Consider the following 24,904-nt stretch of genomic DNA (forward strand, 5'->3'; position numbering starts at 1 on the left):
TCTCCTAGCTTGTCTTTTCATTCTCTTAGGGTCTTTCAGAGAGCAAAGGTTTTGTTTGTTTGTTTGTTTTTTTAATGAAGTCTAATTTATCCATTTTTCCCTTTATGAATCATGTTTTTGGTGTCAAATCTAAGAACCGTTTGCCAAGCCCTAGATTGCAAAGATTTTTTACTATGTTTATTTATTTATTTATTTATGTTTACTAGGAGTTTTATAGTTTTATGTCAGACATTTAAGCGCAAGATGGACTTTGAGGTAATTTTTGTATAAGGTGTGAGACTTAGGTCAAGGTTATTTTTGTCTTTTTCTTTTGACTATGGATGTCTAATTGCTGCTCTGACACCATTTGTTGAAAAGACTGTCCCTCCTCCATTAAATTCCCTTTGCACCTTTCCAAAAAACCAGGTGAGTATATTCGTGTTGATCTATTTCTAGATTCTCTGTTCTGTTCCATCGATCTATGTGTTTATCTCTATGCTAATAACATACAATCTTGAAATTGGGTAGAGTGATCCCTCTCAATTTATTCTTCTTTTTAAAAATTGTTTGAGTTCCCTTTGCTTTCCATATAAATTTTAGAAAAATAATTATGCTGGTATTTTGAGAGGAATTTTGTTAAACCTGCATATCAATCTGGGGGAGAATTGACATCTCTACTATGTTGAGTCTTCCAATCCATGAACATGGCATGCCTTTCCATTTATTTAGATCTTCTGTGAGTTCTTTCATTAGTGTTTTATAGTTTTTAGCATACAAGTCCTGCACATGTTTTGTGAGAGTTACACTTATGTATTTCTTTTTTTTTAAATAAAGCAATTGTATATATTGCTGGTAGGAATGTAAAATGGTTCAGCCAATGTGGGAAACATTTTGGGAGTTCCTCAAACAGTTAAACATAGAATTACCATATAGCCCAGTAATTCTACTCCTTGGTATGACTCTATAATTGAAAAAAGGTACTCACACAAACATATGTACATAAATGTTTAGAGCAGCACTATTCACAATGATCAAGGGTGAAAATAATCTAAATGTCCATCGATATATGGATAAGCAATTTATGGTATACCCATAAAGCAGAATATTATTCAACCATAAAAAGGAATGAAATACTGATACATGATACAATGTGGATGGAGCTTGAAGATATTATGCTAAGTGAGAGACACCATACACAAGGTCACATATTGTATGGTTCCATTTATATTAAATACCCAGGATACCTAAATCCATAGAGACAAAAAATAGATTAGAAGTTTCCAGGGTCTGGGGAAAGGAGAAATGGGCAGTAACTACTTAATGGGTATGTGGTTTCCTTTAGGGGTGATGAAAATATTTTTGGAGTAGGTAGAGGTGGTGGTTGCACAACATTGTGAATTTATTAAATGCTACTGTATTGTTTACTTTAAAATTAATTTTGCTATGTTAATTTCATCTTATAAATAAATATGCAATTAAAATGCAATTGTAAATGTTATTGCATTTTAAAATTTGGTGTCCATGTATTTATTTCTAGTATATAGGAATGCAATTGATTTTTTATGTTTATATTGTATCCCATAATGCTGCTGAACTTACTTACTTGTTCTAGGGGATATGTTTTGTAGATTCTTTGGGATTTTCTGCATAGACAATAATGTCATCTGAAAATAGGGATGGTTTCATTTATTCCTTTCTGATTTGTGTGCTTTTTATTTCCCTTTCTTACCTTATTGCACTGGCTAGAACTTCCAGCACTATGTTGAATAAGATGGGTAAGAGCAGGCTGGGTGCAGTGCCTCAAACCTGTAATCCCACTCCTTTGGGAGGCTGAGGCAGGAGGACTGCCTGAGGCCAGAAGATTGAGACCAATGTAGGCAACATAGTGAGACCCATCTCTACAAACATTTTTTCAAAAGTTAGCCAGGTGTGGTGGTGTGCACCTGTAGTCCCAGCTACTAAGGAGGCTGATGCAAGAGGATTGCTGAAGTCCAGGATTTTGAGGCTACAGTGACCTATGATTGTGCCACGGCACTCCAGACTGGGTGACAGAGTGTCTCGAAAAGAAAAAAAAAAAAGACTGGTGAGAGCAAACATCCTTGTCTTGTTCTCAATTTTAGGTAGAAATCATTCAGTCTTTTATTATTATGTATTAATATAATGTTAGATCTAGGTAATTTATAGATGCTCTTAATCAAATTGTTGAAATTCCCCTCTATTCCTATTTTTCTGAGAACTTTTATCATGCATCGGTGTTGAATTATGCCAGATGCTTTTTCTGCACCAGTTGATATGATCATATAGCCTTTCTTCTTTAGCCTGTTAAAAAAAAGTGGCATATTTTGATTGATTTTCAAGTATTGAACCAGCATTGCATCTCTGGAATAAACCCCACTTGGTTATGATGTATAATTGTTTTTATGTACTCCTGAATTGTTTGCTTATATATTGATAACGATTTTTGCATCTATAGAGATATTGATCCGTTGGCTTATTTTTGTTTACTTGTGTTTATATTGTCTCTGATTTTGGTATCAGAACAATGCAAGTTTCATTAAATGAATTGTTGGGGGTTACCATATACCCTTCCCTGTCTCTGGTAATTTTCTTTGCTCTACAGTTTACTTTATCTGATATTAATATAGCCACTTGTTTTTTCCTTTGGTTAATGTTTGCATTGTATATCTTTTTCCATCATTTTTACTTCCAAATTGCCTATATTGTTATAGTTGAAGTAAGTTTCTTGTGGACAGCATAAATTTGGGTAATGATTTTTAGTCCACTCTGCCAATGTCTGTCTTTTACCTTGTGTATTTAAACCATTTATATTTAATGTAATCATTAATATATTAGGGTTTAAGCCTGCCATTTCATGTTTTATGTTCTGTTTGTTCTGTTTTTAATTTCTCTCTTTTCTTATCCCTGCCTTCCTGTGGGTTACTTGAACATTGTTTTGGAATTTGATTTTGATTTATTTTTGTGTTTTTGAGTATATCTCTTTGTATACTTTTTTAGTGGTTCTAGGTACTATATATGTATAATTTTTCAGTCTACTGGTATCATCGTTTTACCAGTTCAAATAAAATGCAGAAAACTTATTTCCCTTAGCTCTCCCCATTTATAATCATTTAAAATATTACCTCTACATATATTTAGAACCATTAGTGTTATAATTTCTGCTTCAACAAACATTTAAAGAAACTCAAGAGAAGTAAAGTGTATTGTATTTACCCATATTTTTGCTCACAGTGATCATTTTTTCCTTTCTGATGTTCCAGTGTTCCTATATTTATTATTTTCTCTCTGTTTAGAGAACTCCCTTCAGCCATTCTTTTTAGGGAAAGTTTCTGGCAACAAATTTTATTAGTTTTCCCTCATCTGAGAATGTCTTGATTTCTCCATTCTCAAAGGCTGTTTTCACTGGATTCTGAGTTGATGGTTCTTTTCTTTCAGCACTTGAAAAATGTGCCCTTTCCTTTGGACTACCATGGTTTGTGATGAGAAATCTGGTGTCATTCGAATAGCTTTTTCCCTATAGATAAGGTGTCATTTCTTGCTGTTCTTAAGAATTTTTCTGTCTTTAGTTTTCAGAAGTTTAACTATGATGTGACTTGGTGTGAATTTCTTCATGTTAGGGGTTCACTCCACTTCCTGAATCTGTAGGTTTATGTCTTTTGCCAAACTTGAGAGACATTTTAGTCATTTATTTGGGTACTTTCTCAGCCTGCTCTTTCTCGTCTGCTGAGGCTCCCATGATACAAGCATTAGATCTTCTAGTATAGTCCCACAAGTCCCTGAGGCTCTCATAGTTTTATTTTCCCTCAAGTATATTTTATGTCTATTGTTCAAATTGGATAATTTCTGTTGTTCTATCTTTCCAGTTCCCTGATTCTTCCCTCTGCCCCCACCATTTTGTTGTTGAGCCCATCTGTTGAGTCTGTAGTTTCAGTTATTATATTTTTTCAGTTCTAAAATTTCCATTTGGTTCTTCTTTATGTCTTCTATTTCTTTGCCAAGACTTTCTATATTTTCATTTGTTTCAAGCATGTTCCTCATTGCTCACTAAAATATTTTTATGATGGCTGCTTTAAAATCTTTGTCAGATAATTCTAATGTTATCTTAGTTTTGGCATCTATGGATTGTCTTTTTCCATTTAATTTGAGATCTTTCTGGTTCTTGGAATGAGTGATTTTTCATTTGAAACCTGGGCATTTTGGAGATTGTTAAGAGATTCTACATCTTATTTAAATTTACTATTTTAGCTGGCTTACTCTGAAACCACTTCAGTAAGAGAAAGTGAGGGGCACTTCTTCAATACTGCCAGGTGGGGGTAGAAGTTCAGGTTTCCCACTCAGTTTCTCTTGTCACCAAAGTGGGCGGGGTGGGTGGAATGCACCTTGTTACTGAGGAGTAACAGTAGGGGTGGGAGGGCTGGGAGTTTCAATTGCCCATTAGTTCTCTAATGATACCTTCTTGGCTGGGAGTGGGAATGCTTTGTTACTGCTTCCCATGTGACCTCCACCAACACCACAAAAAGAGTGGCTTAGTTACCACTGAGAGGTAGTGAAAGTCCTGACTCTTTACTTGGACTTTGATCCCAACCCAGCAGGAAGGGCCAGGGGCACTATTACTGCCAGATGGGGGTGTAAGTCCAGGCTCCCCACATGGTTTCCACCAACACCTTGAGGGAAGGAGTCTTGTTATTGCCAGGAGGCTCCCTACTTAGCTTTTTCTGACCCTACCTGGTGGTGGTGAGGTTAGGGTTCCTCATTACAGCCTGGCAAATGTGGAAGTCTAGGCTCTCCTCTTGACCTTTGCTGGCATGAGTGGAGACTGGCATCCACAATTTTTTCTGTGGTATAACTGGGATAGACTGATTATTCTCTAAAATCTTTGTCATACTAGGCTGTCCTTTTCTTGGTTCTTTGACGAGAGCAGGCTTTTCTTTTGGGGTGTGCGTGTGTGTGTGTCTGTGCTCACTGGTGCTTTCAAGTTGCTGATTTCTTAAGCTGCAAGTACGAGATGTATGAAGCAAAAGAAAATGGAGAATTCAGCATCATGTTGTACCTTGGGTCCTGAGATCCCTGAATAGTCTGTCCTTTCTCCACCTTTCAGAGTCTTCTTCTCTTTGTTTTATGTATAATGTTCAAAGATTTTTAGTTGCTCTTAACTAGAGGAATAGGGAAAATCACACCGATTCCATCTTCACAGAAGCCGGTCTCCACACATACTTATTTCATATTGTTTTAAATAGTTTCAATATCTTTTTTTTTTTGAGACGGAGTCTCGCTCTGTCGTCCAGGCTAGAGTGCAGTGGCACGAACTCGGCTCACTGCAAGCTCCGCCTCCCAGGTTCACGCCATTCTCCTGCCTCAGCCTCCTGAGTAGCTGGGACTACAGCCACCCGCCATCATGCCCGGCTAATTTTTTTGGTATTTTTTTAGTAGAGACGGGGTTTCACTGTGTTAGCCAGCATGGTCTTGATCTCCTGACCTCATGATCCGCCCGCCTCAGCCTCCCAAAGTGCTGGGATTACAGGCATGAGCCACTGCGCCCGGCCGATAGTTTCGATATCTTAAAACCTTGGGGATCTAAATGTGTTTTTTCTTAACAAATCAGTTTTTTCTGCTCTCATTCATGATGTATCATTTTCCTTTTTATCTTTTACATTTTTAAGGGAAGTCCTGAGAACCTAAATTTAAGCTTTCTCCAGAGAGGATTTGCTTCTGCTTCTGCCGGGAGCCACTGGGGCTACCAACTGGGGACCATTTTAGTTCTCTTTAAGGGTCCTGGCTTCATACAGAATTCTCAGGTTCAGTTTTCCTGTCCTGCAGCAAGGGTGCTCCAGTGTTAGTAGTCCAATTCTAGAGCTATTATTGGCGTTTGTGCCCAAGAACATCAGGATCATTTGTTTACCAGTACTCTTTGTCCTTTCAGCTCACAGTTCATCTTTCTTCTTTTTGTGGAGGAGGAGTTGGTACACCTTGAAGATTTTCCTTATTTTCTTGCAAGTCCAGAGGTGGTTTTCAAAAACTATTTGTTATAGTTTATACAGGATCTGTCAGTATTGTGGTTAGAGGGCCAAAATCACTGGTAGAAAGGGAAACCTCTTACATATAACATTTGCATTTTAAATATTACCTTGAATACAATTAAAAAAAAAAACACCAGTATTTCTCATGACTATCAGGCTTTTCTTTCTTCTATTTTTTTTTTTTTTTAGACAGGGTCTCGCTCTGTTGCCCAGGCTGGAAACCAGTGGCACAATCATAGCTTGCTGCAGCCTCGAACTCCTAGGCTCAAGTGATCCTCCCACCTCAGCTTCCTGAGTAGCTGGGACTACAAGTACGTGCCACCATACCTAATTTTTTAACTTTTTTGTAGAGACGGGTTTTTGCTGTGTTTCCCAGGCTGGTCTTGAGCTCCTATCCTCAAGTGATCCTCCCACCTCTGCCTCCCAGAGTGCTGGATTACAGGTGTACGCCACCGTGCCCAGCCCCAGATTTTTCTTAAAAGGCAGACATGAAGGTTTTTATTGTTAGCATTTTGAATTCTTTAACTAAAGTTGTCATTTTATGTGAGAGATTATTAGAATAATATTCAATTCGTAGTATCTACAGCAAAACTGAGCCTTGCTCACTATACTACTATAAGCCTTATAAGTGGGTTCTTGCTCACTGACAAACTTGGTTTTCTTGGGAGGAATTAAGAACAAGGAGGAAATTAGAATATGGGAGCGGATATATGGGAAATAGTGAGGTGTGACAGCTATGAAATATGGTCTAACATGTAGCCTATGATAGCCTCACTACAGAATTGCACCTGTAGCCTGAAAACTCCTTTTACATTTTTCACAAGAGAACACATTTTTATTTTATACTCCTGCAACTAGATCAGCCGCATTCCAGTTCAGAAGGCACAGCTCACTGCATTCCACAGAGACATTAAGAGAATTTTTGATAACTAATATGCATGACTCTTGTTTCCTTCATTTATTCAGTAAATAAATTTAAGGTCACCATTTCTCAAAAAGTCAAGTGCCTCTGCCTCCCCACACTTTTCACTTCATAGTACTGACTCTCTCACTTTAAAATCCAAGGATGGCCCTGGACAAATTTAATTCTTCAATAAAATAAGAATTGCTAATACTTACCATATGCCACTTTCTATCCTAAGCTTATTTTTTTTTTTTTTTTTTTTTTTTTTTTTTTTTTTGAGACAGAGTCTCGCTCTGTCGCCCAGGCTGGAGTGCAGTGGCGCGATCTCGGCTCACTGCAAGCTCCGCCTCCTGGGTTCACGCCATTCTCCTGCCTCAGCCTCCCGAGTAGCTGGGACTACAGGCGCCCGCCACCACGCCCGGCTAATTTTTTGTATTTTTAGTAGAGACGGGGTTTCACCGTGTTAGCCAGGATGGTCTCGATCTCCTGACCTCGTGATCCGCCCGCCTCGGCCTCCCAAAGTGCTGGGATTACAGGCGTGAGCCACCGCGCCCGGCTATCCTAAGCTTATTTTATACACACACACACACACACACACACACACACACACACATATACTCATTTAATCCTCAAAATAATCCTAAGATGTAGATGTTTTGATTATCCTCACTTTATATGTGAGGAAACTGAGACACAGAGAATAAACGAACCCAAAGTCTCACAGTGAGAAATGGTGGCACAGACAATTGATCCTTGGCTATTTGGCTCCAGAGTCTGTACAATACCACTCCACTACAGATGCTGCATGGCCAAGAGCAGACCCAGCATGTGTGATGATTTAACAACATAATGAAATGAAGTACTTTAGTAGAGACAACAGGTTAAACCACAAATACGTTTATTCCTCTAAAAACAGTATACCATCTTTCCAATTTTCAAAATGTTATTATCAATTGTCTGCAGATTACTCTCATTAAGCTGATTTTTAAAAATCTCAGACAGAGCAGAGCAATTCACCAGCACCATCATCAAGTGAGCTACAAATCTATCTTTTACCAGAGCAAGGAGACACTTAAGATCAATTCAAGAGAATAGCTTTCAGTGTTCACAGAAGGGGTACTCACATTCATTTGTCACATATTTCAGGCCCTCATACACCCCTTTTAAATTGTCTAACTCCTATCCCAGTTTCTTTTTATAGTCTAAAAACAAGGAATCACCCAAGTAAGATACTCCTTCAGAGCACTGCTGAAAATGGATCAAACGTGGAGATCCCCCAGATCCCTGTTCTCAAGTGTTAAAAATATTTTATATTAGCACATAGAATACCCTTAGATATATTCTGTTATGTTCTAAAGAGTTTGTGTTTCCCCCTTTTTGATGATGTCTTCAATTTCTTCTGAGACCTTTCCTGTATAGTCATTTGGTTCTATTGCTTTTAACTTCTCTTGATACTCCAGCGGCAAACCATTTTCTTTTGCACCCATGCAAATAATCTGGAAATGGTTAAAACAAACAGACAAAAAAACCCTTTCAGTTAGGAATATAATTTAACGTACCATACCACAGCTTTATTTGCCTTCTCAAAGTATGAAGTATTAGCTTTCAGATAACTCTAGAATAAACAATTATATAAAATAGAATACCATCATTCCTCTCACACTGAGCATGAATGTGTATGGAGTTTTCAAAGCCAAATGAAGCATCCTCATGGAATATCAACTTTCTCAATATATGATTTTAAATATTTTAATATTAAGACAAACATATCTATATAAAATTTATATGACCTTTTAAGAAAAAAAATACCATTCTTCAAAAAAAATTTAAAGTTTACAGAGAGCAGTTTCGGTTACAACGCCAGAGGTTACCCTTGCTCTGAATTGGACATGGGGGAATAAATGGCAACTGTGTTTAGCGGTACTTTCATAATCTATACCAGGCTAATTTCTCTAGGTTTCATACTAAAAAATTCCAAACGAGGCCTAGGAACCAGATTACCTATTACAGGTGCCATGACCTGATTGGGCCTGCCAACAGAGAGCTAAGCTTAGGTTCTGAACAGGAATTTTGGGGTCTCTATCCCACATTCTTGTCTTGTGCTTGCAAGGGTGATTTCCCTGATTCTGAAAGGCAGTGTGACGTTTCTTTCTCCACCTAGGGATGAAAAACATTTCAGCAGTAGAAAGTATGTTTTTTTCCCCTATAAAAATGAATCTTGGTATTCATAAAATACTGTGTTACGGGGAGAAAAACATTACAAAAGCATATATATATATATATAGATACACACACACATATACATATATATACATATATGTATATATATATAGAAAGAGAAAGAGAGAGAGACTAAATCTATTAAAATACACTCATAAATATTCTTTCCTACTTTAATACATGTCTACATCATAAAAATGAAGCAAAAATTTATTGCCAGGCAAAAGAAAGAAAGAAAGAGAGAAAGAAAAAAAGAAAGGGAGAAAATACATGTCTAGAATTCTGACTCACATATATTTCTAAAAATTTTTTTAATAAATAGTTTTAAAAACATAATTCTATCATTACACATAATATTTTTGAATCTGTACATTAGGTAAATAACTATCATTTTTATATTTAAAAACATTTTTATTAAAATAAATGTTTACATGGAATTTAAAACATACAAAACCTTTTATTTCTTTTTTAGAAATTTTTTTGAGAGTGTCTCACTATCACCCAGGCTGGAGTGTGGTGGCCTGATCTCAGCTCACTGCAACCTCCACCTCCTGGGTTCAAGCAATTCTTATGCCTCAGCCTTCCAAGTAGCTGGGATTACAGGTGCTCGCCACCACGGCCTCCTAGTTTTGTATTTTTAGTAGAGATGAGGTTTCACCACGTTGGCTAGGCTGGTCTCAAACTCCTAACTTCAGGTGATCTGCCCGCCCCAGCCTTCCAAAGTGGTGGCATTACAGGCATGAGCCACCACGTTGGGCCTAAAGTCTTTTAAAAACAATATATTCTTTAGTTTCTCTCAGTGAAATTTAAAAAGTAATCACCACCAGTCTGTAAATAGCTTACCTTTTTATACTGTGGGGATGGGGGAGCACTTTCGTAATTTGTCATCAGATAACTTCGACAGGTTATTTCTTTTCCTTCTTGAGTTGCAACTTTAACTTCTATTACAACATACATTCCACTTTTAACCCCTTCTTGCCTGAAACCAGAACAGCCAAATTTTAACCACATTTGACCTAGCCAATTTAGCTCACTGGGTAAGGTCTTTTTATAATAGTCAAGATGGTGTATGGGATTAAACATTTAACTACATCTGAACATACTTGCTCCCTATGTATTTGGGATAGAGAATATATAAATTTACCACATCAAAAGTAAGCTTAGCATTTAGGCTGGGTACGGTGGCTCACATCTGTAATCCCAGCACTTTGGGAGGCTGAGGTGGATCACTTGAGGTCAGGAGTTCAAGACCAGCCTGGCCAACATGGTGAAACGCCATCTCCACTAAAATACAAAAATTAGCCGGGCGTGGTGGTGGGCGCCTATAGTCCCAGCTACTCAATAGGCTGAGGCTAGAGAATCACTTGAACCCGGGAGGTGGAGGTTGCAGTGAGCCGAGATTGCACTGTGGCAATCCAGGCTGGGAGACAGCAAGACTCCATCTCAAAAAGAAAAAAAAAAAGGCCGGGTGCAGTGGCTCACACCTGTAATCCTAGCACTTTGGGAGGCCGAGGTGGGTGGATCATCTGAGGTCAGGAGTTCGAGGCCAGCCTGACCAACATGGAGAAACCTTGTCTCTACTAAAAAAAAAACACACAAAAAATTAGTCCGACATGGTGGTGCATGCCTGTAATCCCAGCTACTCGGGAGGCTGAGGCGGGAGAATCACTGGAACCCGGGAGGCAGAGGTTGGGGTGAGCCGAGATCACGCCATTGCACTCTAGCCTGGGCAACAAGAGCGAGACTCCGTTACAAAAAAAAAAAAGTAAGCTTAGCTTAGCATTTCAATTAGAAGGCCTGAGACATAATATTACTTGTTATACTCCTAACATAACTCTCTGTATTTATCTTGTCTTTAAAGAGGCTTCAATATAGTTTGTTTTTTTTTTCAACTTTATACTATGGAAACATTGTTCTTTGGGCTACAAAAATGGATGGTGTTCTGACAGCAAGAGAATATCCACCTAGAACAAAGGTAGAGAGGATGGCTCTTTCTCCTTCACAAGTGAGGTAAAGTATCGAGCATGTCAGATAACCCTCTCTTCTCAAGGCCTACTCTTTTCTGCAACTTTTCTTTGTATGAAATGCTCTGCCACACAACTCTGAGAGCTCTAGTCATAAAAAGTATCAAAGCATTTCTAACATGTCCTCAGATGCTTTTACAAAGTATTACTTATTTACTGATTCACCTGCCATCTTAAATAATTGTTCTTTAAAAACTGAATTCAAGTACTTTCAAAATCAACAAAAATATGTAACAATTACAGAAATCTTCATGCCTTTTCACAGTATGAAACTATAAAGAAAAATTATGAAAGACAATAGAATGAAAAATAAGGGCTTCCATCTTTTACATAAGAGATTACAAACATCCCCCCAAATCTTTATCAGAAAATATAGCCTTTCTAGACCTTTTAGCAAACTCACATTATCATGCCTTTTATGTTGACTCTAAAAGTATAATGAATATGTCTGTAGTATGTGGTTTTGAAAAACTAACACACAGGTACACATCCTCACATACAATCTGCTTTCTGAATTAATTACTGTTTAACTTATAATTAGAAGCCACCTACTCATCCAGAGAATTTAAATTGCTTTTGTTCATTTTCCATACTACTCCCCACACTTCATCGCCAGGACTCTGAAAAATGGTGGCTATCCCTCCATGCCAAGTTTGACTTGTTTTGCCTTGGGAATTGCCAAAGTCAAGCTTAAAATCCTACAAAGGAAATCAAAGTGATATGATCAATATCCACTTGAATCCAAATTTCCCTCATCAAAATAAAAAGGATTTACCTTGAACTCCATGCAATTAAAACAGTCAATAAACTGAGTTCCTTCTATGCATAAGAAGCTGTGGAAAATATAAAGTTAAACAGACAGGACCCAGATCCCAAGGATTACGTTTTTTAAATATTTTTCTTTAAAAATGAAACATACACTGAATATGTATAGACATCTTAACAAAAACAAAAAGTTTAAGGAAAAAAAATCCCATAACCCCAATGCCTGAACACAATTGTTTTCATTTTTGCAAATTACTTCCCAGTCTTCTTACATACACATAAATTTTTACTTAGAGACAAGCTGGGTGATGGCTACATGTGGGTTATAATATTCTCTCTCCTTTTATGTCTGTAGAGTATCCTACCAACATATATCACCAAATTTGCCCTGAGGGACCTGGCATTTGAGGATGAATGATTTGTGTACTTATGAACACTAATACTCACGAATTATACTAATTTATCTACAATAATCATAAGAGCACCTAACACTAACTGCAAATGGGAAGGCCATTTAAGCAGGGGACGAGCATGCCCAAAGACATGGATAAAAGAGTGTGTTTTGGGGGCCAGGTGCAGGGGCTTACGTCTGTAATCCCAACATTCTGGGAGGCCGTGGCGGGTGGATCATTTTGTACACAGTGCTATTGGCTAATATATAATTATGGACCATTCCGTTTTATTTTGCTAACAACTTTCTTATACCCATTTTACAGCAATAAACACTGTGGGTTAGAAAGATTAAGCAATCTTCCTAAGGTCTTGGAACTAATAAGTAATGAAATTAGGTTTCTAGTTTAACTTCTTTCCTCACAGAGGTGGGCAATCAGGGGATAGAGTCCTGGGGAAGATTAAAAATCCTTACATGAAAAAACAAACTAAAAAATAAACAAAAACAAAACAAATAAAATACAGAATCCTTATGTGGCTTATTTGGTCTAGGAAGATTTCTTTCCATCTTTCCAGAGCTTAGTTTCCTTATAGATAAATTTAAAAAGTTGAACTAAACGATAATTCTAGGATCCTTTTCAGGTTTATATTTTATCCCTGTCACTTATATTTTCTAGAAAAACTTGTCAGACATCTCAGGAATTGGGGTGGTTGGAGTGACCAGTACCTTTATTCAGCATAAGAGATGTTCTTCTAGGACCACATGTCCCTGGCAGGACACCAGGAGATGTGATAAAAGTTACAATTCACACTAACTGGTTGTGTATTGCTAAATCCAATAAACTATTTTCATTCCTCATCTTGTTCCACTTCTCAGCGGAACATAGGTAACCACCTTCTCCTGATCTGCCTCTTTCCTGATTTTCAGGCTGTTCCTTGATCTCAATCCCCTTTGCCAACTCCTCCTCCATTACCTGATTTTTAAATGTTGGAGTTGCTCAAGGCTCAGTCTAGGCCATGGGTGTCCAACCCTTTGGATGCAAGAACTTTTTTGCTTACCTGTGGTGGCGGACATCACAAAAATTATGCATGGGCCTTTTTTTTGTTTTTGTTTTTGTTTTAGCTCATCAGCTATCATTAGTTTTAGTGTATTTTATGTGTGGCCCAAGACAATTTTTCTTCTTCCAGTGTGGCCCAAGGAAGCCAAAAGGTTGGACACCCATGGTCTAGGCCATTTTCTCTATTCATTTGGCAATTTGCTCAAGACATTCTCATCCCCTCCAATGGCTTCAAATATTCTGATCATCTTTAAACCCAGACCAGATCTCTCTTCTGAGCTTCAGAAGTGCTTAGAACAGGGCCTAGCACACAGTAAGTACTTAATAAATGTTTGCTAATATTATTCTGTTCACTTGACTGTTTAGCAAGCATTTCAAATTCAAAATGTTCAAACTGAACTTAAAATTTTCTCCTCCCAAGCCGGATTTTCCTCTTTTCTCTGCAAACATCACCTGCATCTACCTGGTGCCAAAAACCTGAGTCATCTTTGGTATTCTCTTCACACTCAATCACTATGCTTTAACAATGTTATCTCCAAATTAGTTCTCAAATCCATCCACCCTGCCCTGCCACCACCCTAGTTCAAGATGCCATTCATTATCTTTGGCATAAATTGCTGCAAAAACTTCTTGAACTCTCCACATTCACTCTTCCCTCCTTCAAATCTATTTTCCATGTGACCAGAATGGGCTTTTGGAGATAGAAATCTATCTTTCATGTGCTTTAGTTCTGCAGTGTGTCTTATTTGGCTTCTGTGGTCCTGGAAGATGTGGCCCTTCCACATATCTCCAGTCTTCATGCCACATTCCCCTTACTAAACTCCAGCCACACTGACTGAAAGATCCAGCTTCCTCTTTCTTCAGGTCCTTTGCAGAAGATGCTGTTCCCTGTTTTGTGTGCTCCCCACCTCTACAATCATTCAGGTCTCAACTTAAAAGTCACATTTTCAGGCAGGGCTTTCCTGAGCATCCTGGTTAGGTCAGGTACCCTGGTCATACGCCCCATTGCACTTTGCATGCCTCCTTTTTAAGATGGACCATATACCTGTAACTGAATAATCCCTTGTTTAATATCTCTTCCCCTTGCCCTGACTGTAAGCATTTGGACTCCCTTCCTACAGTTGGGAAATTCCCTACCTTACGAGTTTGGGAATAGGGAGTATCAGAGCCTGACTCCCATTTTTGAGGCTTCAAAGGCCAGAAGCTGGTTCTCTCAGTTTTGCTTAAAATCACGGCATGGGTACGTGGCCAAAACTTAGCCAATCGGGACATTCTGGGGCTTTCAATTAGAAGCTAGTGCCCAAGACAGCAGGGACTCCAGAGAGGCTGACACATTTGGGTTTCAGGAACTGCAGGGATGTACAGAGGCAGGCAGTGTCCAGGGCAGGGGGTGGTGGACAATACAGCATCCACGTTTACCAAGTTCAGCAGTGGCGTGGAAGAGGCTCCGTGGGCTGGTTCTGTTGTGTGATGCCCACTGTATTACAGTTGCTGTGCCTCCCTTTATGCTTGTCCGTTTTGTCAGCTTTGTACTCCTGCCTTCCTGGTCATTCTGTGAGCTCTCCAATAGCCTTTCAACACATTCTTTTTTTTTTTTTTTTTTTTTTTTTTGCTTAAATCAGCCAGTTTCTGTTGCTTGCAACTAAGAACTCACGATGTTAGCAGAGATCATGTTTGTCTCATTCGACGCTGTCAAAAAGGTTTTGAACATAATCTATTGCACCTCTGTCCTACAGACTGAGAGTTCCTCGAAACAGCCACTTTACTCAATCATGTTTATACCCTTAGTGTTAAGTGCCGGAAGAATATGTACTAAATGAATGAATGGACTGGGCTGAAGAGCAATGATTTACCAACACTGGTTATAGTTCATGCAGCCCCTTGACCTAACTGAACACAGCATTATTACAAATAAGACATGGTCCCAGCTTTCAGGACCTCTTAGATGAGGAGCGAAAGGCAGGTAAACGGATTTTCACAATGCCAGGTGAGAAGTGCTGTAACAAAGGTTATGTACAGAACAGAAGGCAACCAATTCCCAGACACGGGTCAGAGAAGACTCTCCAGAAGTACCAACTGTATGCAATCTGTTAAGTTAGTGGACGAGAGGCCAAATCGGTGCAGACCGAGCAGCCGGTGCAAAGGCCAGGAGGGGGAAAGCTCCAGGCAGCCCGAGAGGGCACCGTGGCCCGGGCAGGGCCGGGCAGTGGGCGCAGCGGAGGAGGTGGACCCGCCCAGGAGGCGGAAGCCGCGTCCTAGTACCCTCATCAAGAAGAACTGCATTCCTGGCCCGATCGGCCACGTGTGCCCCCGAGGAAGCGCCTTCTGGGCATCCCGGCCCCGGCGTGGGTAGCGCGGGAGGGGGCACTCACCTGCAGGCGGGCCACACAGAAGAACGCCGCCGAGGGGTTTCGGAGGTGGATCCTCTCTGTCAGCAGGTTGCTGCCGTAGGCAAAGTACAGAAAACTCTCCTCATCTGGACCCGTGACGTCCTTGCAGCCCGAGTTGGCCATATCCCACTACGCCCCTGCACTGGAGCCTGAAGCAGAGTGTAAGGAACGGCCAGAGAGCGCAACACTGGGGCCCACTACCCCGGCGCAGTGACCGCCGCGCGGCAGCCTCAGGGTTAGGGGACTGGCGGGAAGCGTGGGCCGGTCGAGTCAGGAGCGAGCGCTCTCCTGATTGGCTGCCGGTCCCCACCGACCTGAGTCGCCCCCTTTGATTGGCCATCCCCACGGCCTTCCCTCCGCCTTCCGCCGAGACTCAGAAATAGTCTGTCCTGAAGCAATCCGGCGCTGGCTCCTCATTGGACACGACCTACTGATGTCCCGCCCCTCCTTGCTCAAGGCTTCCTCTGATTGAGGGGTGGACAGGCACTCCTCACAGGCGGGTCGGGTCCCATGGACACTGGCTGAAGGTCGTGGCGCGTGACTGGTTTCTTCGCTCTGGGGTGCTTGTGTGTGGTTCTTTGGTACTTTCTGTGCCTTAGGAAGTTCTGGTCAGATCTGAGGCGAAACAGCGGCCCAGGCGACTCCATCAACGGCTCCCTCATCCGGCAGCTCGCCGGGTCCTGCCTTCCTGGCCTAGAGGAGTCGGGCAGGACGGGTCCGTTCACCCTTTCTGCTGGTTCCGGCACCCCCAGCACTGGTCATCAATCTGACCCCTTTCCACGGACCCGTCGCCTGCTGGAGCGGCCCCTCTGAATGCTTGGGACTCCCTTCCCTGTTACATGGAAGTTACATGCCTGGGCTTAAATCCCGACGCTGCCATTTACTAGCCAAGTAACTTTGGGCACCTCTGGTCTCCGTTTCCTCTTTTTAAAAATCGGGATCATAATATAAGTTAGGGTCACAGTAGAAACCCCTATATTGTGTTTTGGTTACCCCCTCCCACACACACACACATCCTGGGTGTATTTTTTAAAACCTATATTGTTAACTTTTGAATGAACATAAGGGCATAGGAACATTGTCTATCCTTGACACCCAGCTATTAATCTCTAAATACCACCCCCCACTAAAAGGTACCAAGTGATCCTTCGAGAAATGACTGATGCCAGGTCAGGAGCTAGGAGTGAATGAGGACAACTTGGAACATCTTGTGTCAGAAGCTCAGGACGCCTCTCAAGACGAACGAGGTCCTTCTAAAAGGACATGGGAACCAGCCTGAAGTTGCCCACTGGCCAAAATTAGAACAATTTGAGAATCAAAAATAACAATGACTGCAAACTGAAAAATGATTGGAAACTTTAAACATAAAAAAGCCATTCCCCCCAAAGAGTAATCCAAATTAAAAAAAAAACTATAACTTCATTTGCCACACTATTGGTGGTGACTATTACACCAACTTTACTCTGCAAAGTGATAATTTAAGAAAACAAACAGGTATTCCGCCTTTCTAGTAGCAGCTGTATTTCGGGGTAACTGAAATACAGCTGATGACGAGCATCAGTTGATGAGGAAACAGTTCTCTTTACAAAAGTATGCCAACTAAGTCATCCTAAATGAATAATGGAATTTTATAATTGATTCATGCCAGGATCATCAGTGATATCATTTGGTGAAAAGGTGATAGGGAACAGGATATTCACTTGATGCCAAATTACTCCCTGAGGATTACTGCTGGTTACAATTTATTTATTTTATTTTTATTTTTTTGAGACAGAGTCTCACTCCGTCGCCCAGGCTGAAGTGCAGTGGTGTGATGTCGGCTCACTGCAAGCTCCGCCTCCCGGGTTCACACCATTCTCCTGCCTCAGCTTCCTGAGTAGCTGGGACTACAGGCACCCGCCACCATGCCTGGCTAATTTTTTGTATTTTTAGTAGAGACGGGGTTTCACCATGTTGGCCAGGATGGTCTTGATCTCCTGACCTCGTGATCTGCCCGCCTCGGCCTCCCAAAGTGCTGGTGTGTCCGGAATTGTGGGTTCTTGGTTTCACTGACTTAAAGAATGAAGCCGCTGACCCTCGCGGTGAGTGTTACAGTTCTTAATGATGGTGTGTCCGGAGTTCGTTCCTTCAGATGTTCAGATGTGTCTGGAGTTTCTTCCTTCTGGTGGGTTTGTGGTCTCACTGACTTCAGGAGTGAAGCTGCAGACCCTCGCGGTGAGTGTTACGGCTCTTAAAGGCGGTGCATCTGGAGTTGTTCATTCCTTCTGGTGGGTTTGTGGTCTTGCTGACTTCAGGAATGAAGCTGCAGACCTTCATGGTGAGTGTTACAGTTCATAAAGGTGGCTCGTCCAGAGTTGTTCATTCCTCCCATCCGGAGTTGTTTGTTCCTCCCGTCCAGAATTGTTCGTTCCTCCTGTCTGGAGTTGTTCCTTCCTGTGGGTTCATGGTCTCGCTGGCTTCAGGAGTGAAGCTGCAGACCCTCGCGGTTGAGTGTTACGGCTCTTAAAGGCGGTGCATCTGGAGTTGTTCATTCCTTCTGGTGGGTTTGTGGTCTTGCTGACTTCAAGAGTGAAGCTGCAGACCTTCATGGTGAGTGTTACAGTTCATAAAGGTGGCACGTCCAGAGTTGTTCATTCCTCCCATCCGGAGTTGTTCGTTCCTCCCGTCCAGAATTGTTCGTTCCTCCCGTCTGGAGTTGTTCCTTCCTGTGGGTTCATGGTCTCGCTGGCTTCAGGAGTGAAGCTGCAGACCTTCGTGGTGAGTGTTACAGCTCATAAAGGCGGTGCGGACCCAAAGAGTGAGCAGCAGCAAGATTTAGTGCAAAGAGTAAAAGAACAAAGCTTCCACAGCCTGGAGGGGGACCCAAGTGGGTTGCCCATGCTGGCTCTGGTGGCCTGCTTTTATTCCCTTATTTGGCCCCACCCACATCCTGCTGATTGGTCCATTTCACAGAGAGCTGATTGGTCTGTTTTGACAGAGCCCTGATTGGTGTGTTTACAAACCTTTAGCTAGACACAGAGCACTGATTGGTGCATTTACAATCCTTTAACTAGACAGAAAAGTTCTCTAAGCCTCCTACCTGGTTAGCTAGACACAGAGCCCCGATTGGTGCACTTAAAAACCTTTAGCTATACACAGAGTGCTGATTGGTGCGTTTACAAACCTTTAGCTAGGCACAGAGTGCTGATTGGTGCGTTTACAATCCTTTAGCTAGACAGAAAAGTTCTCCAAGTGCCCACCCGACCCAGAAGCCCAGCTGGCTTCACCTGTCACTGGGATTACAGGCGTGAGCCACCGCGCCTGGCCTACTGCTGGTTACATTTTTACAACACAGGGAAATCTTGCCCCTCCTACCTTAACCCAGAACAATCTTATCACCATAAAAGTGGCCCAGCCTGACATTAAATATCTCCCAATTTGATGCAATATGAAGCTCCAGCATCATCTATGAAGTATTCTTTCCAAAAAATTTTAACCTCAACATCATCAAGCCTTTAAATCTATCTTCCTGTCTCAGGAACTGCAAGGATAGAAGAATAAAATTACAACAGGAGAAAACAACCAGAAAAACCCAGAATAAATGGTGGAACACCCTACTGAACACATGGCCCAGTGTCTTCAATAAGTCAGTGTCATTAAAAAGAAAAAAAGCAGCACTGAGGGATGGCTGCTCTAGATTAAAAGAAATTTTAAAAATGTGGCTGGGTGTGGTGGTTCACACCTGTAATCCCAGCAATTTGGGAGGCTGAGGCAGGCAGATCACAATGTCAAGAGATGGAGACCTTCCTGGCCAACATGGTGAAACCCCATCTCTACTAAAAATACAAAAATTAGCTGGGCATGGTGGCATGCCTCTAGTCCCAGCTACTCGGGAGGCTGAGGCAGAAGAATTGTTTGAACCTGGGAGGCAGAATTTGCAGTGAGCCAAGATCACGCCTTTGCACTCCAGCTTGGCAACGGAGCAAGACTCCATCTCAAAAACAAACAAACAAACAAACAAACAATAACCAAATGTATGGCTTGTCCTCTGTTGATTCTGGTTTAATAAGCCAGATATAAAAGATATTTCGGGGACAACTGAAGAAATTTGAGTTTTCACTGGGGCATTAGGTGATATTAGGCAATTGTTATTAGGTGTGATAATGGTATTGTGCTTCGGTAGAAAAATGTCTCTATTTTTAGACATGTATACTGGCATATATAGGGTTGAAATATTTGATACCTATATTTTAAGATAATTCAGAACAAAAAAATACAGAAAGTGTTAAATGTTAAATGTAGTGATGTACATGGATGTTCATTATATTTTTAATGTATATATGTTTGAATATTTTCATGTTAAAAAAAGAACAAGGAAAAAGGTGATATATGGAAAGCCCTTGCCATGTAGTGAGCACTCAATAAGCAATAGCATTATTATTATTATACAATCTGCAAATAGGAAGATTATTGTGGGATCTGCCCCGCAGCCCGCAATGCAATGGGGCTCTTTCCTTGTTCACGGGCAGATCGGCAGGTCGAGAAATAATAGACGCACACAAGATAGTGAAAACTGGGTCCAGGGGGGGTCACCATCTTCTGGTCCCGTGGTGCCGCCAATGCACTGGATATACCAGCATTTATTATTAAGTTTAGTGAGGTCAGGGGTAGGTTAGTGAGGGATTTAGGGTCGTTTGATTATGAGGTGAGATAGTCACATGGAGATGAAGTAATTCTTTAACATAACATCTATATGCAGAAGTACAGTATACAGAGATAAGAATTTACATCAGTCATTTCTAACAGAGCCTTGAAACAGAAACACAGTCTGTCCATAACCTATGATTAGCAAGATATTAATCAGCAGTAACTGTTGCAGCAAAAGCTGGTTACAAACAATCCATGGAAACAGGACGTGAAGCTAGACAACCGGTTAGACCAGAAATTCTCAGAAGGGAGTATGCCTTAACCCTAAAGAGGCCTAGAAGAGCCATGGCAAGATGAGGGTGTTTGTAGCCCTATCTTATCCATATGAACAGGTGCCCCTCATGCATCTGCTTATAGGCTCTCCACAAGCGTTGCATTCCATTCCCAGAGCTCTGAACATCTGCTTTTCTGGGATAGGAATCTTGGTGATGTGAAACCTCCCTGACTGCACGTCTGTTCATAGGCTCTCTGCAGGGGGAAGCACATCACGCGCTGTTGGCTCATTCTGGCAGCCCAACCTGGCATTGTCTTTACACAATCCTGCATGCAACTTTGTATTTACAATAACCAGGAGCATTTCATCTTTTATTCTGTAGCAGTAGTTTCAGGGGGTCTCCCTACAGAAGATAATACCTCCTCCCACCCCTCAAACATCTAGGCAGAACTTGAAATACATACTTGGTCATTTCAGGGAGCAAGTTGCTTTTCCTGGCAAATCATATTCTATTACACCATAAATTCTCAAGGGTCCTATTTTAGAGCACTGCAATTTAAAATGTCTTGCTTTTCAACTGCTCTTAAGAATCTAAAATGTGCTTATTATTTAATTATTGTTACAGATATTTAATTTCTCTTCCTATACTTCTTGCTAATTACTTAATTTCATGACAATTGATTTTTCTCAAGACTATTTTGCAAAAATATTCATAAGTTTAGCATTGATATTACCCTCAACGCTGAAAATCTTTCCTTACTCCAAGCACTTATTTATTTAGCTTCCCCACATAGATGGCAGTGTACTGACCCAGGTTGGCCAGCAAGGGGCAGTAGGTAACAAAGTTACCTACACAAAGTTGTGTTTTTGTGTTTGTTTTTTCAAATTTAACCAAAGCCAGGTTAATATTAGTTAACATTCATTGAGCACTTCTGAAATGCCAGGCACTGGCCTAAATTCTTAAATGTATTAGCTCATTTAATCCTGAAAATAGTCATATATGGAAAGTACTGATATTATTCTCCTTTTACAGTGAGGAAACAGGCATAGTAGGTCAACTAACTTGCCCCAGGTTGTAGTTAGCAATGACTGAAGCAGAGATTCAGCCATGCAGTCTGACTCTAAGTCACTACTGGGTGCTGCTTCTCAAATTTCTAACAATTGTAAAACCTTGGTGCTCTAGATATATCTAGTTATTAATAGCCCACTTTCAAGTACAATCATTATCTACAAGATTATTAAATAATGATTATAGCCTTCAATCACTTGATAATAAAGACAATGAGATCAGATTTCTTCTTAATGTCATCTTTTATTTTTATTTTTTGAAGCAAGGCCTTGCTCTGTCTCCCAGGCTGGAGTGGTGCAATCATGGCTCACTGCAGCGTCGACCTTGCAGGCTCAAGTGATCTTCCCACTTCAGTTTCTTGAATAGCTGGGACTACAGTTGCAACACATCTGGCTAATTTTTGTATTTTTTGTAGAGATGGGGTTTTGCCATATTGCCCATGGCTGGTCTTGATCTCCTGGGCTCAAGCGATCCCCTCACCTCAGCTTCCCAAAGTGCTGAGACTACAGACTTGAGTCATTGTGCTGGGCCCTAAATACCATCTTTTAATCCAGTGGTCTTTAAAGTTTTTTGATTGTGCCATTAAAAATTTTTGAACACACACAATTATATGTTAATATTAATATATGATTATAATAGTATATAATTATATGTATATTAATATATAAAATACATTCTATAATACCCACAAAATAGAAATTTTAAAATAAAAAAGCTATTTTATCTGTCATTAATTGTGGTAGTTTCAATCAATCATTGGCCAATCTCAAGGGAAATACACATATAGGTCAAAGTTAATTATAAGTTATAGTAGATGGAAATTTTATTGCTAATAGCCCTCCTAGGTGGAGAGCTAAATTCTTATATGTATCATTTTGGCTGACCTTGTCAGATGTTACTAGATCACCATTATTTTTACAACACAATGAATGTGATGAGGAGCTTGTACCAGAAGTATGAGAAATGTCGGCTCTGTCCCTTTCTTTTTTTCTTTTCTTCTGCTTACAATTTTGACAAGAGTTCCTGTCCAATTCTTTGCAGAAATCTTTTAAATTATGTTCCCATTTTGTGAGAGTTAATTCTCTATAAATCTGTTTAGCTAAGCCCAGATAAATGACAGTAAATACCAAGATAAGGAAAGCGACTGACTGAGAGCCAGAGCCACCATCAGCCTCTTCCCCAGGGGAGGCACTCCCATTCCTCCTCAGGACACCTTTTATGTGACAGATGATGACTGCCTGGCTAACTGAGGGTTCTACTGTTTTAGTAAAGCAAAATTCTTATATTAGTGTATATTTACTAAATATAGCAAAGTATAGGAAACAAAATTCTTTCTAATATTTTAGATTAAAAATTAAAATAGAATTTGTTTTCACATCTCAGCAGATCAACTTGCTCATCCACTTTCAATAGCATTGTAATCAGTTTTAGCATTTATCATTTTCAGAAGAGCATTTCAAGGAAAGACATTGGTACATCATAGCAAGTCTGAAGAGTTATATGGTACAAAGGCTGTGTGTCTGCTGAGGAAGGCCAGCTGTCTGTGCAGGCAATGCCATTCAGGGGCAGTAGAACTCTAGTGGTATAGACAGAGACTGGGTCTCATGAGTCTGTGTCTTAGCTCTGTGGGCTGAGAAACACAATCTTGTCAGTACTACCAGAGGGGGCAGATTCACACTAAGCAGACTCATAAGAGATGGATGTACACATCAGAATGTCAGTTTGTTGACATGCAATGAGAACTGTAACAGATAAACCATGTATTTGTGTTCACAGATCAATGCATTTTCTTCCACTAGGAAAATAAATCTAAATGAGGCATGAGTTTATTAGCATGACTGAGGTCAGGAGGTCAAGTGATTAGAGTGGAAGGAACAAAAGCAGGAGCAGTAGGAGATGAGGTAGAGAGACAGGCAGGGGCTGGGTCACGTGGGCCCTTGAGGCCATGTTAAGGAATCTAGATTCTAAGAGGTCACAAGCTATTGGGGGTGGTTTAGGTAGGAATATAATCTGATTTTCAAAGGGATAATTCTGCATGCTGAGTGGAGAATCAATTCTAAGGGGATAGAAATGATAGTTAAGAAATTAGAAAAGACAGGGCCAGGTGCGGTGGCTCACGCCTGTAATCCCAGCACTTTGGGAGACTGAGGTGGGTGGATTACGAGGTCAGAAGATGGAGACCATTCTGGCTAACACAGTGAAACCCCATCTCTACTAAAAATACAAAAAAATTAGCTGGGCATGGTGGCGGGCGCCTGTACTCCCAGCTACTCGGGAGGCTGAGGCAGGAGAATGGCGTGAACCCGGGAGGCAGAGCTTGCAGTGAGCCGAGATCGCGCCACTGCACTCCAGCCTGGGTGACAGAGTGAGACTCCGCTTAAAAAAAAGAAAAAGAAAAAGAAAAGAAAAGAAATAAGCAAAGACAGTCCTGCAGAGGTTTAGACAAGGGTGGATGGTGGCTTTGGACTAGGGAGTGAAGCTGGGAAAAGGATGGATTTGGGTTGCTTTTTTTTTATGGTAGAGCAATTAAGACTTGCTGGGAGATTAGATAGGTGATTCCACGCTTACCAAACAACCTTCCAGCTGTAATTTGTCTTCTTAGTAGGTTTTTCTTCTTAGAGAAGGAAGCACTCGTCAGGGAACATAGGGATCTGATATTTCTACTGGTTCCAGTTTTCTTCCCTGAGAATGTGTACCTGAGTCTAAGAGGGTTGGGTCTCTCTCTCTCCGAGCACCTACACATTTGAAACACTCTGAGCTGGTCCCAGCCACGTTAGACATGTGGGCTGAGAAGTGGAGGAAGATGATCTGAGCTACAGAGAAGGAGAAAGCAGACCACAGCTCAAGCAGAGAAGGGAGCTAGAGAAAAGTGCTGGGCACATTTGAGTGCTCACTCCAGCTGTCAAGACCCAGTGGAATTTCTCACTGTAGGTTTCACAGACACTTTCCTAAGTCTTATACTCCAAACCACACTGGGAATGAAATAAAGATTCTTATTCAATGTATCTATTAATGGTTTACGTGGAAAGCAGTGTATCTAATTCCACAATAATATTTTAGAGTGTATCTTAAAGACATCTGGCTCCAAAAGTAAAGTATTTGGTTGTGCCTGCATTAAGGTAAATATATATATATATATATATATATTTGTATTTATATATTTGTATATA

At 40.7% G+C, this 24,904-nt stretch overlaps 1 protein-coding gene across 5 annotated transcripts, besides 6 other annotated features; it reads right to left on the reverse strand.

The window, feature by feature from the left end:
• Positions 1–7,799: 7,799 nt before the first annotated feature.
• On the reverse strand, positions 7,800–16,008 carry GGCT (gamma-glutamylcyclotransferase). 5 transcript variants are annotated; one of them, NM_001199815.2, is made up of 4 exons: positions 15,748–16,008; positions 11,715–11,860; positions 8,920–9,075; positions 7,800–8,414 (listed from the first exon to the last, which is right to left on the reverse strand). In NM_001199815.2, the coding sequence occupies exons 1-4, from the start codon at positions 15,886–15,888 to the stop codon at positions 8,357–8,359; spliced, it is 501 nt and encodes a 166-aa protein (NP_001186744.1). In that variant the 5' UTR covers positions 15,889–16,008; the 3' UTR covers positions 7,800–8,356. The 5 variants fall into 5 exon arrangements, 4 of the variants coding, with proteins under 4 accessions (NP_001186744.1, NP_076956.1, NP_001186745.1 ...); NM_024051.4 differs by lacking the exon at positions 8,920–9,075 and adding an exon at positions 9,982–10,117; NR_037669.2 differs by lacking the exons at positions 8,920–9,075; positions 11,715–11,860 and adding an exon at positions 9,982–10,117.
• Positions 15,216–16,095: an enhancer, noted in NCBI's record as "H3K27ac-H3K4me1 hESC enhancer chr7:30543653-30544532 (GRCh37/hg19 assembly coordinates)". NCBI's record gives its function as "activates a minimal SCP1, AML or CMV promoter by ChIP-STARR-seq in primed H9 embryonic stem cells {active_cell/tissue: H9 hESC(primed)}" and the evidence as "EXISTENCE:reporter gene assay evidence [ECO:0000049][PMID:30033119]".
• Positions 15,414–15,593: a silencer, noted in NCBI's record as "silent region_18068". NCBI's record gives its function as "represses an Ori minimal core promoter by ATAC-STARR-seq in GM12878 lymphoblastoid cells {active_cell/tissue: GM12878}" and the evidence as "EXISTENCE:reporter gene assay evidence [ECO:0000049][PMID:35858748]".
• Positions 15,744–15,953: an enhancer, noted in NCBI's record as "active region_25813". NCBI's record gives its function as "activates an Ori minimal core promoter by ATAC-STARR-seq in GM12878 lymphoblastoid cells {active_cell/tissue: GM12878}" and the evidence as "EXISTENCE:reporter gene assay evidence [ECO:0000049][PMID:35858748]".
• Positions 16,096–16,974: an enhancer, noted in NCBI's record as "H3K27ac-H3K4me1 hESC enhancer chr7:30544533-30545411 (GRCh37/hg19 assembly coordinates)". NCBI's record gives its function as "activates a minimal SCP1, AML or CMV promoter by ChIP-STARR-seq in primed H9 embryonic stem cells {active_cell/tissue: H9 hESC(primed)}" and the evidence as "EXISTENCE:reporter gene assay evidence [ECO:0000049][PMID:30033119]".
• Positions 16,394–16,483: an enhancer, noted in NCBI's record as "active region_25814". NCBI's record gives its function as "activates an Ori minimal core promoter by ATAC-STARR-seq in GM12878 lymphoblastoid cells {active_cell/tissue: GM12878}" and the evidence as "EXISTENCE:reporter gene assay evidence [ECO:0000049][PMID:35858748]".
• Positions 23,327–23,828: an enhancer, noted in NCBI's record as "NANOG hESC enhancer chr7:30551764-30552265 (GRCh37/hg19 assembly coordinates)". NCBI's record gives its function as "activates a minimal SCP1, AML or CMV promoter by ChIP-STARR-seq in primed H9 embryonic stem cells {active_cell/tissue: H9 hESC(primed)}" and the evidence as "EXISTENCE:reporter gene assay evidence [ECO:0000049][PMID:30033119]".

Source organism: Homo sapiens, chromosome 7 (genome assembly GCF_000001405.40).
Source record: "Homo sapiens chromosome 7, GRCh38.p14 Primary Assembly".
NCBI lineage: Eukaryota > Metazoa > Chordata > Mammalia > Primates > Hominidae > Homo > Homo sapiens.